At 40.8% G+C, this 16388-nt stretch overlaps 2 protein-coding genes across 13 annotated transcripts in view; one reads left to right on the forward strand and one right to left on the reverse strand.

Annotated features, from left to right (window-relative positions):
- ETFBKMT (electron transfer flavoprotein subunit beta lysine methyltransferase) overlaps positions 1-9664 on the forward strand; it is a 25955-nt gene extending 16291 nt beyond the window's left edge. For all 6 annotated transcript variants that reach the window (NM_001135864.2, NM_173802.4, XM_024448925.2 and 3 more), the window contains exons 3-4: positions 2637-2767; positions 4197-9664. In NM_001135864.2, coding sequence (NP_001129336.1) covers positions 2637-2767; positions 4197-4540 — 475 coding nt within the window. In that variant the 3' untranslated portion in view covers positions 4541-9664. The remainder of the gene's footprint in view (positions 1-2636; positions 2768-4196) is intronic.
- AMN1 (antagonist of mitotic exit network 1 homolog) overlaps positions 7687-16388 on the reverse strand; it is a 58038-nt gene continuing 49336 nt past the window's right edge. For 3 of the 7 annotated variants that reach the window (NR_103523.1, XM_017018965.3, XM_006719054.4), the window contains one exon: positions 7687-8927. Coding sequence is in view for 5 of the 7 variants with exons in the window: in XM_017018965.3 (XP_016874454.1) it covers positions 8854-8927 (74 nt within the window). In the remaining 2 variants the exon portion in view is untranslated. Of the gene's footprint in view, positions 8928-10101; positions 10189-16388 lie in introns of all 7 variants that reach the window. The other 4 variants (NM_001278411.2, NM_001113402.2, NM_001278412.2 and 1 more) reach the window with 2 other exon arrangements.

Here is a 16388-nt window from a genome sequence, read left to right on the forward strand (position 1 = left end):
CCTGACCTCAAGTGATCCGCCAGCCTCGGCCTCCCAAAGTGCTGGGATTACAGGCATGAGCCATCGTGCCTGGCAGTAGCAGCTATTTAGACAGGGCATGTATGCCTCTACTTTGCCATAGTGTTAACTGGTTGATGTCAAGTCCCAGGTTCTTAGTGCCATCAACAAAGAATTGGACATGACACATACAAGTAGCAAGGCAGCAAACAGTTTGTTAAGCAGAATGCAATCAGCAACGGATCAGGCTGACCTGCGAGTGGTATCAGCCCCAGTTTGTTATAGTTCATGGCCTTTTATATGTTTTTTCCTCACTTGCTTAACCTTACTTTGTTTTTCGTAAGTGAATTGCTCATCCTGGCCTTTCCCTCATTGTGCCTAAACCGCACTTTATTTCTCATAAGCTAATTGTGCATCCTTGCTTAACCTTATTTTATCTTTTCTGACAAAATTGCTCATCTTTACTTTTAGTTCTTGTAACCAAATTGCTACTGCAACCCCTTTCCACTTATTTTCCTTATCTTGCATGTTCTAACTCATTGCTTACTCCCGTATCTCTTACTGCTTACTGTCTTATTTCATATGTCCTGTTTCTGCTATCTTGTATGCTTTGCTTTTGGTATTGCTTCAGCTAGCCTATGTCCAACGGGTCCCCTTCACCCCTGACTTCCTCTGCCATTCTCCTGCCTCAGTAGTACCCACTGTTCCTTATTACTCCAATCCGAAGATCAAGAGTCAGCTGAAATTTGTTATTTCAGCGTTTCTCCATCCCTCTTCGCTTGTTTGGTAACTATTTAGCTCCAGTCCAAATTCCTTGGTTGAATTGGACTTTGAGTTTTACCAGAGAGGTCATTATACTACATTTCAAGCAGCAGGAAAATCACTCTATGATGGAGTCAAGAGGAGACAGTGACTCTTGGATTGAGTTTACTAATTTTAGTCTTTGTTTTAGCAGTATTTTGTCAGTCTTAATTCGTGGTGCTCGGTAGTTTCTGGAACATACTAAGTATTCAATACTTTGTCAGCCGAAATGAGAGACTGAGGCATGAGTCTCAACCAGTCAAGGTTTGTTAAGCCCAAGAAAAATGCAAGTCACAGAAAAGTTTGTGGCCTGTGCTCTTCTAAGAGGTTTTTAGGAGGCACAGTATTTATACATTTCTTTTTCTTTCTTTTTTTTTTTTTTTTTGAGATGGAGTTTTGCTCTTGTTGCCCAGGCTGGAGTGCAATGGCACAATCTTGGCAGACTGCAGCCTTCCCCTCCCGGGTTCAAACGATTCTCTGCCTCAGCCTCCCGAGTAGCTGGGATTACAGGCATGTACCACCACGCCTGGCTAATTTTGTATTTTTAGTAGAGACGGGGTTTCACCCTGTTGGCCAGGCTGGTCTCGAACTCCTGACCTCAGGTGATCCACCCACCTTGCCTCCTAAAGTGCTGGGATTACAGGCGTGAGCCACCACACCTGGCCATTTATACATTTCTTTTCTTTCTTTCTTTTTTTTTTTTTTTGAGACAGAGTCTTACTCTGTCACCCAGGCTGGAGTGCAATGGCTTGATCTCTACTCACTGCAGCCTCTGCCTCCTGGGTTCAAGCAATTCTCCTGCCTCAGCCTCCCGAGTAGCTGGGATTGCAGGTGCCCGCCACCACACCTGGCTAATTTTTGTATTTTTAGTAGAGATGGGATTTCACCATGTTGGCCAGACTGGTCTCGAACTCCTGACCTCAGGTGATCCACCTGCTCAGCCTCCCAAAGTGCTGGGATTACAGGCAGGAGCCACTGTGCCCAGCCTACAACTTTTTTTTGAAAAAAATTGACTTGAATAGCATAATCAGTCAGTTGTGTGGTACTGTGCTTCACACCTGCTGAAGAGAAAGACCAAATGACTAGGTCCTTTCTTCTGCCACCTCTGCCCAGCTCTGGAGATGGACTTTTTGTGTCACTCTAGTCAGACCAAACTTGCCAAGGTTGGACCAAGTTCTGCTACTTTTCACTATTTCTTTTGTCCAGTCAACCTAAAGACATCTCTTTTCTTTCTTTTCCTTTTCTTTTCTTTTTTCTTTTTTTGCATACCTCTTATTTGCTGAGACCAGCTCGGCTGGGGAGACCCTAACCCAGTGACACTAGAGGAATTAAAGATACACACACAGAAATGTAGAGGTGTGAAGTGGGAAATCAGGCGTCTCACAGCCTTCAGACCTGAGAGCCCCGAACAGAGATTTACCCACATGTTTATTAACAGCAAGCCAGTCATTAGCATTGTTTCTATAGATATTAGATTAACTAAAAGTATCCCTTATGGGAAATGAAGGGATGGGCTGAAATAAAGGGATGGGTTGGGTTAGTTATCTGCAGCAGGAGCATGTCCTTAAGGCACAGATCGCCCATGCTATTGTTTGTGGTTTAAGAACGCCTTTAAGCAGTTCTCTGCCCTGGGCAGGCCAGGTGTTCCTTGCCCTCATTCCGGTAAACCCACAGCCTTCCAGCGTGGGTGTTATGGCCATCATGAACATGTCACAGTGCTGCAGAGATTTTGTTTATAGCCAGTTTTGGGGCCAGTTTATGGCCAGATTTTGGGGGGCCTGTTCCCAACATTTATTTTTCCTCATCTCTCTGAGACATGTTTCTCCTTTTTAATTTAGGTATCTTTTGGATAATCCTGATGTTGTCAGAGGAAAATCTGTATTAGATCTTGGGAGTGGATGTGGAGCTACAGCTATTGCTGCTAAGATGAGTGGGGCATCAAGGATCTTGGCCAATGACATAGACCCTAGTAAGGATTCATATTTTAAAATATTTAAGGCTCATCTTTTTTTTTTCTCTGGGATAAATATGTACACATGCTCAGTGTGGTAGCTTATCGTTATATGTATTTTGTGATTGGACATTGTGAATCTCTGTGCACTGGGACATTATCTGTAGGAATCCCCTGAGGTCTGAGTAGATGGTGCATTTTTCCCAAGAGGATTTGTGTCTGCCAGACATCCAGAGTAAGCACTTATGTTAATTTATGGGCTAGGAATTTCCTGAAATATGTAAATAGTGTTTATTTGACCCCAAACCCAAGTGAGTATTGACCTGTCTTTGAGGGTTATTTTTATTCCATTAGAACCCAGGCTGAGACAGGTAAGTTTTTATTTGATCTGATTTTCTTCTGGTCTACCCTTTCACTGAGAATATAGTCCTTGAAAACCTTTATTTTATTTTATTTATTTATTTATTTTGAGACAGAGTCTCCCTCTGTCACCCAGGCTGGAGTGCAGTAGCACAATCTCAGCTCACTGCAAGCTCCGCCTCCCGGGTTCACACCATTCTCCTGCCTCAGCCTCCTGAGTAGCTGGGACTATAGGTGCCTGCCACCATGCCTGGCTAATTTTTTTTTTTTTGCATTTTTAGTAGAGATGGGGTTTCACCGTGTTATTCAGGATGGTCTCAATCTCCTGACCTCGTGATCTGCCCGTCTTGGCCTCCCAAAGTGCTAGGATTACAGGCATGAGCCACCGCGCCTGGCTGAAAACCTTTATTTTATAAAGGAGTCTCAGTTCTTTTTTTTTCTTTTTTTTTTTTTGATACAGAGTCTCACTCTATTGCCCAGGCTGGAGTGCAGTGGCACGGTCTTGGCTCACTGCAACCTCCACCTCGTGGGTTCAAGTGATTCTCCTGCCTCAGCCTCCCGAGTAGCTGGGATTACAGGCATGCACCACCATGCCCAGCTAATTTTTGTATTTTTATTAGAGACAGGGTTTGACCATGTTGGCCAGGCTGGTCTTGAACTCCTGACCTCAGGTGATCCACCCGCCTCGGCCTCCCAAAGTACTGGGATTATAGGCGTGAGCCACTGCGCCCAGCCAAGGGGTCTCAGTTCTAATTTATTGCCATGCTCAATCAAGCCCAAGTCTCGTTTCCCTGTCCACAGTAAAAAAACAAAATCTTTTGGTTAATGAAATCAGCAAATATTCCTAAAAGTCCCAGCATTTCTAGGTGTTTTGAATTGTTTGTTTTCAGGATATCCAGTCATGTATTTGGAAATTGTGGTATAGCTTATATTGGGATAACCTTTATACTTCTCTACTTTAAAAAACAACTTTCATCAAAAAGGAAGAAAAATATATTGTTAGCAGATCTTCTAAATTATTTAATCAACATGGAATTATAACAGCCTAGCATATACCAATTCATTTTGTGCTTTTTTTTTTTTTAAGTTGCAGGAATGGCTATTACACTAAATTGTGAATTGAACAGACTGAATCCTTTTCCTATTTTAATCCAAAACATTTTGAATTTGGAACAAGATAAGTGGGACCTTGTTGTTCTTGGCGATATGTTTTATGATGAAGACCTTGCAGATAGTCTTCATCAGTGGCTGAAGAAGTGCTTCTGGACCTATAGAACTCGAGTACTGATTGGTGACCCTGGGCGGCCCCAGTTCAGTGGACACAGCATTCAGCATCACCTGCACAAAGTGGTAGAATATTCACTTTTGGAGTCTACTAGGCAGGAAAACAGTGGACTGACAACAAGCACAGTGTGGGGTTTTCAGCCTTGAGTTGTCAAAGTGCTTCCAAGTATGAATATAGTAATGTTTGGATCTGACTCTAAAAGTTTTCTCTATAGGAGATACTCTCCAGTTTAATGAATGTAATTCTTGTTAAATGGAAAATCTTGTTTTTAAAATATGAAGGTTTAGAGTTTTGTTTACTTTTGTCATGTAACTGGTTCTGTATTTCTATGCATGCCAATTATACACATCTCTATCTGCATTTTTTTTTCTATTTTAACCGCTGAAGGAATATGATTATACAATGCCATACTCAATGGTGGCAGCATTTAATTTAAGTAATGGAGAAGAATTAAACATTGTAGCTGGATCTGTTTCTGTAGTCGAGGACAACTGTGATGTAACTTTGAATTAAACAAACAAAACAAAACAGAAGAAGACTATATATATATTTTTTCTTTTTTTAGAGACAGTCTCACTTTGCTCCCAGGCTGGAATGCAGTGGCTATTCAGAGGCTTAATCATTGGGCACTGCAGCCTTGAACTCTGGGCTTTTTTTTTTTTTTGAGATGGAGTCTCAGCTCTGTCGTCCAGGCTGGAGTGCAGTGACTCATGTCTCGGCTCACTGTAGCCTCCACCTCCCCCAATCAAGCGATTGTCCTGTCTCAGCCTCCAGAGTAGCTGGGATTTTAGGTGTGCACCACCATGCCTGGCTAATTTTTGTATTTTTAGTAGAGACGGGGTTTTGCCATGTTGGCCAGGCCGGTCTCAAACTCCTGACCTCAGGTGATCCACCCGCCTTGGCCTCCCAAAGTGCTAGGATTACAGGTGTGAGCCACCACGCCAGCCTGACGATGTTTTTTACTTCTATCACTTCCTTTTGATTTTTTCTTATAGCTTCTATCTCTGCTTACGTCACCCATCATTCTTGCGTGTTGTATGCTTTTCGCATTAGAGCCCTTTGCATGTTAATCAGTTATTTTAAATTTATGATCTGGTAATTCTAAAATGTCTGCCATAACTGAGTCTGGTTCTGATGCTTGTTTTCTTTTCAGACTGTTTTTTTGTCTTTTAGCATGCCTTGTAATTTTTTGTTGATAGCTAGACATGATGTATTGCATAAATAAACAAGTAAACTAAGGTAGCATGAGGTTTTAAAATCTGGGTAGGGCTACTGTTTGCTGTAGAGTAGATATTACAGGCTAAATTTTCCTCTAGTGTCCTGGCTATTGTCTCCTCTGTTATCTTTGAGTTTCCCTAGAGATTCCTTCTTATATAGAGTCTGAAGCTTGCAGTTTTTTTCACCTGTAATTCCCTGTTATTATACAGTAGCCTAACTGATGTGATAAGGTATGGGAGAAGGTATGTTCTATAGTCCTGTGATTAAGTCTCAGTCAGTTAAGTCAGCCTGTGCCCCTGCTGTGACCTTCACAAGTGCTTTCAGCTTTTCTTTTGTCACTTTGGTGAGACAGGAAGGCTAGAGGCAGCTGGAGTTGGGTGCTTCCTTTCCCCCAGGTCAACGAGGCTCTGGTAAAATAGTTTCCCTTGAGAACTGGCTTTTGTTAAGGAGAACTGAACACTTGGGCATATTTCAAAATGGTTACTTTCCCTATCCTCATACCAGAAGAGGGGATTTTTCTCTGATCCTCACCCTGAGAACCTGGTAGGTATCCTGGAGGTAAAACTATGAAAGTGTGGTGTCTCCCCTAGGAGTGGGCCCCCTGGAGTTTGTTTGTTTTAATTTAACAAAGTTTAATTGAGCAAAGAACAATCTGTGAATTGGGCAGCTCCCAAAAGCAGAATAGGTTCAGAGTGACTGCAGGGTTGCCACACCTGGTTAGATAACGTTTATGGACAGATTCCTAGAGCTTTTGATTCTTTTTTTTTTTTTTTTGAGGCAGAGTTTCACTCTTATTGCCCAGGCTGGAGTGCAATGGCGTGATCTTGGCTCACTGCAACCTCCACCTCCTGGGTTAAAGTGATTCTCCTGCCTCAGCCTCCTGAGTAGCTGGGATTACAGGTATACACCACCAAACCCAGCTGGGATTACAGGCATGCACCACCATGCCCAGCTAATTTTTGTATTTTTAGTAAAGACAGGGCTTCGCCATGTTGGCCAGGCTGGTCTCGAACTCCTGACCTCAGGTGATCCACCTGCCTCAGCCTCCCCAAGTGCTGGGATTACACGTGTGAGCCACTGTGCCAGGCTGGAGCTTTTGATTCTTAAGTCCATCCACATGGAGCCTCCAGCAACTCAGGAATTACAGCATAAATGTTCCTATTGGTACTGGCTCCAGCAACAGGCTTCTGCTCCCTGTAAGCTATGGTTCTTTGTATTTGCGTTTCTAATTTGTGAGGCATTCTCTCTTTAACCTTAATTCTCTAATGGATCTAAGTGTTGTTGACTTTTCAGTTTATTGAGCTTTTTTCTTATTGTGAGGATGGGAATGATGACTTCCAATCTCTTTATATTAGAAAATATAAATCAGACTAGAGACTGGAAATTTTTGTTGTTGTTGTTGGGTGTTTTGTTTTGTTTGTTTTTAGACAGGTCTTGCTCTCTCATCCAGGCTGGAGTTCAGCAATGCGACCGTGCTCACTGCAGCCTCGACTTTCTAGGCTCAGGTAATCCTCCCACTTCAGCCTCCTTAGTAGCTAGGACTGTAGGCATGCACCACCATGATGCCTGGCTAGTTTTTTTATTTTGTATTTTTTGTAGACATGGAGTCTTGCTACATTGGCCAGGCTGGGTATTACTGGGTATTTCTTTCTTTCCTCCTTTATTTCTTTCCATATTTACTTATTCAATGAATATTTGAGTGCTTATTATATACCAGGCACTGTTCTAGGCACTGGGGATATGGGGATACAGCAATGAAAAAAAAAGATAAATACTTTGTCCTTATGAAATTTGTATTCTAGAGTAGGGAGACATAATGAACAAATGAAAACAGGCATCAGATGGTGATAGGTAGTAAGGAGAAAAAGAAGTAAGGGTAATAGGGAATACTGGGTACTGGATGGGGTACAGATATTTTAAACAGAGTGGTGAGAAATAGTTAATACAGCTAGCAACATAAAAAAGGAGAAATATCAAACTGCAAACTGTTTTAGGAAGATAAATCCTTCATAGACCCAAAGAAGCTCACAATTTAGATGTCGAAACTAGTTTCTGCAAAAAGGGGAAAATGTGATTGACTTGGTTAAATATTCAGTATTAAATTTTATTGAATTTGTCTTTAGAAAAATTTCATAGTTAGAACAGGCCTTACCCATTTTGCACATATATACATATGCACCACCTTTGCAGTGGCAACATATATATCCACACTATAAACATACCACATTTATAAATCTTGTAAGGACAAGAAATGGAGTTGAATAAGTACCCCCCAACATATACAAGAAAGTTAGCATACTTACCCCGTTTTTCACTACATCAGAGGCAAAATAAGAAATCTTTTAAGAAAATCTCAAGACTGGCTCATGGCAAAATGAATATGCTAAATTTGGGGGTTGGTTTAAGCGTGGTATGTGTCAGGTAATTTTGTGATTACCAAAAAGTTTTCACTTGAAAACTAAGACCTTTGCTGTTTATTTCACAATGTGAAATCAATAAACCTGAGGATACAAGTCTCTGTAGTGATATTCTGTATTTACTCATTTTTACACATTTTTGAATGCAATTTTGCTAAGGAAGGAAAGCTTACAGATGCATAAAATGTAACTGGGAAGAGTAGCCATAAAAATCAATGAATGGATGTGGCTGGGCAAGAGCCTCTGTAATACTAATACGCTGAATGGCTAATAAGTCACTTCATTTCGGTGAAACAAATACCTAAATTCTTTGAAGAATTAACAGGCTTGATGTTCAGGTCTGCTTTTGGCAAATGGGCATTTAAATACTCCAAGAAGGTAAGAGCCAGAAAATAGGAAGGTAACTATGCTTTTAGAAATATGTTTACTTAGATTCTCCCAAGGTTTATACTTACAGGTAAACTTAGAACAATAGCTCAAATACCTACATAGGAGAAGGAAATCTCAAGGGAAAACAGTTAATTTTAAAGTTATTTAAGAAACAGAATCCAACACCATAGATCAGAGTTCATGCTAGGATTATCATTTCAAAAATAATGACTCATCCAACAGATATAGAATAATAGCACTTTAAAGATGTTTAAGAGTAAAGCACAAACCATGTATATACCAAGACTTAGCTAATTCTCTGAGAGTTATAACTTAAGACAATAAAATAATTAAAAATAGTGTTAACATTAAGTAGAATGCAAATCTCTATAGATGGTTTCCTGGGAAAGTAGTTTTGATAAGCTTTCCTAGCATTGATCATCTTCAAAAAAGCATCAATAAACAGTCCATGTCACTTGCTTTAGTTTGTTTGGGCCTACTAATTGCTCCAACACTTCTCGGGAATGATCTATAAAAGAAAACAATGACAATATATTAATTGACAATAAAAAATGTTTAATGTTTCCTCATGTCTAACTGGAGGTGATGTTAATTATTATACAGTTATTTAAAGGATTAAAGGAGGTGATCTATAAAGCACAATATACAACTAACTCACTAATAATTAATTAATGGTAGCCCTCACTATTATTAGGTGTAGTGCACCTATCATGGTATTACTTGTTTAAAAAAAAAAAACAGGCATTTGTTGTTTTCTCTGTAATTTCATCATAATTCCACCAACCAGAGTAATGGTCTAATTTCACCATTAACCTGTGTTAATGGTTAATAACTTTTTTCAGGATCTTAGCCGGAAATAGATGATTCACTAAAGTGGGGTGACTGAACAGCATTTAATGAAGGGAATATTTACCAAAAAAGTAGGATTAAAGAAAGCCAATAGGTACGGTAAACCACCTTGGGAAGCTGCAACACACCCAAAGGGTTAAAGGAGGTAGTAGTCACCGAACGTGACAAGTTGACCTGTAGCTGAACATTTTTCCATGTCTGTATAATACTACTATAAAGCATGATTTTAAATAGATAACCATTATATAAATACACTGTAATTTAACCAATCTATATTATTGGACATTTAGATGTTTTCAGTTTTTCACAATGTACAGTCGTGATTTTGATATGGTTTCCATCCTAGTTTTAGGATGTCTTTTAAAAATCTGAATTAAAGCAAAAATACTGATAAAATTTTGTTAGTTTAAATATTACTCATAAGTTTAATAAACTTGTTTCCATAGATACAACCTATGTTTTATGTACAACATATCTCTAACCTAGTCTTGGAAATCCTGTAATTTGGTGGTTCCTAGACAGATTTCACAGACCAGTAGAAAAAAAAAAAAAGATGGGCCCAACATATACAGTGACAAAATTTTATTTTAAGTTTAACAAAATTAAGCAAAAATACCAAGGTTTATTGCCAGCAAGAGAACCAGAGAGTGTATAGAAATGAAAAGTTATTATCATTGGGAAAACAAAGGTTTACAATTTTTTAAAAAAGCAGCTAGTAAGATAAATGCAGTTTTATTCATGGTCATAAAAATATTATTGGTTATTGTAGAGGAAATCTCAATCAAAGATAGATTCAAATTATGTTGAAAGTAAAAGAATGGACAAAGACATACCATTTAAATGGCAACCATGACAAAGCTGGGTGGCTATAGAAGAAGGGGGAAACACTTTCCAACTCTTTCTGTGAGGCCAGTGTTACCCTGATACCAAAGCCAGACAAAGACATCACATGAAAAAGAAAACTGCAGACAAGGATCTTTTATTAATGTAGACTAAAAAATGCTCAACAAAACACCAGCACACCAAATCCAGCCACTAGAAGAAAGGATTACATACCATGACCAACTGAGATTTATCATAGGAATGCAAGGTTACTTTAACATCTGAAAATCAATTAGTATAATATACTGTGTTAATGTCCTATTGCTGCTGTAACAAATTACCACAAATTTAGTGGCTTAAAGCAACAAATTTGTTATTGTACAGTTTTGAAGGTCAGAATTCCAAAATGGGTCTCACTGGGCTAAAATCAGGTGTGGGCAGGTCTGCGTTACTTTTTAGAGGAAAGTCTTATCTTTTTTTTTTTTTGGAGGCTCTACAGGGGAATCTACTTCCTTTACTTTTCTAGCTTCTAGAAACTACCACATTCCTTGCATTCCTTCCTGCTTATTTAAAGTGAACAACATTGGGCTGGGTGCGGTGGCTCACGCCTGCAATCCCAGCACTTTGGGAGGCTGAGGCGGGCAGATCATGAGGTCAGGAGTTTGAGACCAGCCTGGCCAACATAGTGAAACCCCCATCTCTACTAAAAATACAAAAATTAGCCGAGCACTGTGGCATGCACCTGTAGTCCCAGCTACCTGGGAGGCTGAGGTGGGAGAATTGCTTGAACCAGGGAGGCGGAGATTGCAGTAAGCCAAGACCATGCCATCGTACTCTTGCCTGGGTGACAGAGTGAGACTCCATCTCAAAAAAAAAAAAAAGTGGGCATCATTGAGCACAGTCCTTCTCAAGCTGCCATCTCTATGGTCCTCTCTCCTTCTACTTTTAAGGACCCTTATGATTATTTTGGGCCTACATAGATAATACAGAATGATCTCCCTACTTAAAAATCAACTGATTAGCAACTTTAATTCCATTGGCAACCTTATGTAACATAACATACTCACATTTTGGGCATTAGAACGTGGATATCATTGGGTGGGTGAGAGCATTATTCAGCTTACCACCTACACCATTCTAATAGAACAAAGAACTAAAACCACATGATCATCTCAATAGACAAAGAAACACCAATTGGCTGGGTACGGTGGCTCATGCCTGTAATTCCAGCACTTTGGGAGGCTGAGGGCGGATCACCTGAGGTCAAGAGTTCAAGACCAGCCTGGCTAAGATGGGAAAACCCCGTCTCTACTAAAAATACAAAAAAAAAAATTAGCCATGCATGGTGGTGGGTGCTTGTAATCCCAGCTACTCAGGAGACCGAGGCAGGGGAATCGCTTGAATCCAGGAGGCAGAGATTGCAGTGAGCTGAGATGGTGCCACTGTACTCCAGCCTGGGCAACACAGCAAGACCCAGTGTCAAAAAAAAAAAAAAAGAAACACCAGTTGACAAAAACCAATGCTCATTCAACCAACTAGGAATAGAAGATAACTTCCTCAACCTGATAAAGGGCGTCTATGAAAAACCCATAGATGGCAGGATGCAGTGGCTCATGTCTGTAATCCCAGCATTTTGGGAGGCCAAGGCGGGAGGATCACTTGAGCCCAGGAGTTCAAGACCAGCCTGGGAAATATAGTGAGACCCTGTCTCTGCGAAAGAAATTTAAAAATTAGCTGAGTGTGGTGGCACATGCCTGTAGTCCCAATTACTTGGGAGGCTGAGGTAGGAGGATCCAATTGAGCCTGGGAGGCAGAGGTTGCAGTGAGTGTGTTCACACCACTGCACTCCAGCCTGAGCAACAGAGCAAGACCCTGTCTCAAAAACAAACAAGAAAAACCTATAGCTAATAGTGAAAAATTAAATGTTTTCTCCCTAGGATCAAGACAAGGATATCCACACTTTTTTTTTTTTTTGAGACAGAGTCTCACCCTTTGCCCAGGCTGGAGTTCAATGATGTGATCTTGGCTCACTGCAACCCTGGCTTCCAGGCTCAAGTGATTCTCCTGCCTCAGCCTCCCGAGTAGCTGGGATTACAGGCGCCCGCAACCACGCCCAGCTAATTTTTTGTATTTTTAGTGGAGACGGGGTTTAACCATGCTGGCCAGGCTGGTCTTGAACTCCTGACCTCAGCAGTTTGAGACCTGATCCACCTGCCTTGGCCTCCCAAAGTGCTGGGGTTACAGGCGTGAGCCACCGTTACCCGCCAGGATGTCCACTCTTGCCATTTCTATCCAACATAGAAATGGCATGTACCAGAGGTTCCAGCCATGGAAATTAGGCAAGAAAAAGAAAAGGCATTCAGGTTAGAAGGAAGAAGTAAAACTATCTATTTGTAGATGTTATACTGTGTATACAATATCCCAAGGAATTCACTAAAAAAATAGAATAAATGAGTTCAGCAAGGTACAAGAACAATATATAAAAATCAAATGTATTTCTATACATCAACAATGAATAATCCAAAAATGAACTAGAAAATAACTCCATTTATGTTACCATCAAAAAGAATAGAATACTTAGGAATAAATCAAATGAAAGTGAAAAACTTATACTCTGAAAACTATAAGACTTTATTGAAAGAAATTAAAGACCTAAATAAAGAAATCCAAACCAGAAGGCTTAATATTATTAAGATAGCAATATTTCCCAAATTACCTATAGATTCAATGAAATTCATATCAAAATACAAGCTGGCTTTTTATTTTTTGCAGAAATCAATAAGATGGGGCCTGGTAAGGTGGCTCACACCTGTAATCTCAGCACTTTGGGAGGCCAAGGCAGGTGGATCGCTTGAGTTCAGGAGTTTGAGACTAGCCTGGGCAACATGGCGAAACCCCGTCTCTACTAAAAATGCAAAAATTAGCCAGAATTTGGCCCCCCCAGCTAATTTTTTTGTATTTTTAGTAGAGATGGGGTTTCACCATGTTAGCCAGGATGGTCTCGATCTCCTGACCTCGTGATCTGCCCGCCTTGGCCTCCCAAAGTGCTGCAATTACAGGTGTGAGCCACCGCGCCTGGCCAACACTTCCCAATTTCATTTTAGCTGGTGTGTCTACAATCATTTTGGCATTTTTCCAAGTTGTGAATATGTTATCAAACATATATAAAATTTGTCTTCTGTCTACATTTGTCACTATTCTGTTTTGAATTCACTATTGCACATTATAGGAAGATGCTTTTCCCTCCAATAGTAAGCATGTAACATTTTTATGTAATTAAAAATTTTTGATGCCAGATGGCAGTGTTATATTACAGTCTCCTTAGGCAGCTTCTTCCCATGAAGATAGAGTATTTAGGACTGTGGGTTTAAATAAGAATATTCAATGCCTTTATTATGCTACAGGGAAAAACTATGGGGTCGCTAAGTATTTCATAATCTCTTGGCAGAACATTTTATAGAAACACATACTCTCTTGGCCGGGCGCGGCGGCTCACACCTGTAATCCCAGCACTTTGGGAGGACGAGACGGGCGGATCACGAGGTCAGGAGATCGAGACTATCCTGGCTAACATGGTGAAACCCCGCCTCTACTAAAAAATACAAAAAAATTAGCTGGGCGTAGTGGCGTGCACCTGTAGTCCCAACTACTCGGGAGGCTGAGGCAGGAGAATGGCGTGAACCTGGGAGGCGGAGCTTGCAGTGAGCCGAGATCGCGCCACTGCACTCCAGCCTGGGTGACTGAGCGAGACTCCGTCTCAAAAAAAAGAAAAAGAAAAAGAATCACATACTCTCCAGACTGAAAAAGGGCTAACGGGTCATTTATGCTAATCACCCGACTGATGCTTGATGTCACCTTCCTATTTGTTTCTCTATCCTAGTAACAGTTAAGCCACTTTACATTAAAGGCTCAGGAAGGAATTATAGATTGTGGTTCAGATGACTTAGGTTTTACTTCCAGTTCTATCAACTATTTCTAAGATGTGGGGCAAGCCACTTAAATCAATTGTATCTCTGTTCCCTTATCTTTAAAATGAGGGAGTTGTATAGATGACCTTGTTGGGGCTCAGAAAAGGATTCCCCAAAGTATGGCACTTTGGCATGCTGAGTACTTTGAACTAAAGGACATTGGAAGGCCTCAGAATCCACCTCAGAACCAAGGTCTCTGACCTTCTCCTGCCCTCCTATCTCTTACCCTTCATTCTCCGCAAGTGAGTCACAGAAACCAGGATTCCTCTTCCCCAAGGTGGGTCACAGAAACTAGAACCCTTTTCCCCAAAGGAAGACATAAAACCTACAAATATTACTCTAAACTTCCCCAGCCTTTCTGCCTAGGAGCTGGCCATAAAGAAATTCTCTGATGTACCCTTGTCAGATAGGAGATCATAAGGCCCTCATTCCAGAGTGGCCCCGCCCTATACCCTGGAAAAAGGAAGGTCACACAGAAAGGCCAAGAAGAATCTGAACAGGCCTTGCTGGGTTTCTCCACTCTTACTATTAGTTCATTCTCTTTTCCAGTCACATCTCTACATGGCTGTCCATGCTTCATAAGCATAAAAACAAGCAGTTTTCCCTGGGTGTTTGGCTCTTCATTTCTGAAGTCTCTTATAAATCTTTGACCAAATAAACCTGTTACGCCTTTCTCTTATTAACCTCCCTTTTCGTATAGGACTGTCAGCCTTGACCCTTATGATGGGTGAGGAAAGGTATACCTTTCTGCCTCCCAACCTCTAAGGAACTGTTGACCACCTCTGTAAAAATCTATGACAATATAGATGGAGAGCATTTTTTGAAAGATTCATGGCAGGAGCACTTGGAACACCAAGAAGAAGAAGAAACTATGGGAAATACAAACTTTTTTTTTTTTTTTATGTTGAGACAGAGTCTCACCCTGTCGCCTAGGCTGGAGTGCAATGGTGTCATCTCAGCTCACTGCAACCTCCGTCTCCTGGGTTCAAGTGACTCTCCTGCCTCAGTCTCCCGAGTAGCTGGGACTACAGGTGCCCACCACCACACCCGGCTAATTTTTGTATTTTTAGTAGAGATGGGGTTTCACCATATTGGCCAGGCTGGTCTCGAACTCCTGACCTTATGATCCGCCCACCTTGGCCTCCCAAAGTGCTGGGATTACAGGCGTGAGCCACCACCGTGCCCGGCCAAAGAATACAAACTTTTAACAAAGTATTTTTTTCAAATGTTCAAAGGAAATGTAATTTAGACATTTTTAGAGAACACACAGTGAAAAAAGTATGGCTGAACACATTTTTACAAATAATGATCAAAGTCCTAATGTTTCATTACAGTGATCTGGCAAAAATAAACATGTCATGTAGGATTAGTAATGAATGAATGAATAATGAGGAAACAGAATAATACAGGATTAAGACAAATATGAAATAAAAAAATGAGTTCTCCTTTAAGCAAGGAACCAGCTTTAATTAAAGGGAAACCCTGAAGCAAACCACTTGGGTCTTAAAATACTGTTTTGGCTGGGCATGGCAGCTCACGCCTGTAATCCCAGCACTTTGAGAGGCCAACGTGGGTGGATCTCTTGAGCCCAAGAGTTCGAGACAGTCTGACCAACATGGCGAAACCCCGTCTCTATTTATAAATAAATAAATAAATAAAAATTTAAAATACTGTTTTGGCTCTTTGTGGTAAATCCTGACATCTACATTATCCAGAATCTAAGTAAAGAACTTGCTGGCTGGGTGTGGTGGCTCACACCTGTAATCCCAGCACTTTGGGAGGCCGAGGCAGGTGGCTCACCTGAGGTCAGGAGTTCAAGACCAGCCTGGTCAACATGGTGAAACCCTATCTCTACTAAAAAAATACAAAAAAATTAGCCAGGCATGGTGGCACACACCTTTAATCCCAGCTATTCAGGAGGCTGAGGCAGGAGAATCGCTTGAACCTGGGAGGCGGAGGTTGCAGTAAACTGAGATGGTGCCACTGCACTCCAGCCTGGGCAACAGAGTGAGACTCCATTTCAAAAAAAAGAACTTGCCTTTAAATCAGGTTAAAACAAATCCTCAGATAAGATTAAAATTCAAGTCGACTAAATTGAAAGCGGCAGATTTCCTGTTGGATTCTCCTGCCTCTCAGGGTAAAACATAAGGACTCTCTAACTGCTTTATTGCCCTTCTAAAATCCTCCATGTCTTTGAATACTGTCAAACATGCTTAGATAACTATGAGAAACGGCAATGCATGTCTGCTGTAGGAGATTAGCAAAGGTATGTGAGGTGAACTTACTGATAATCATTGAAGACCTAATTGAATTAAAATGCTTTAGTAAGT

The sequence above is a fragment of the Homo sapiens genome, chromosome 12 (assembly GCF_000001405.40).
Source record: "Homo sapiens chromosome 12, GRCh38.p14 Primary Assembly".
Lineage (NCBI taxonomy): Eukaryota > Metazoa > Chordata > Mammalia > Primates > Hominidae > Homo > Homo sapiens.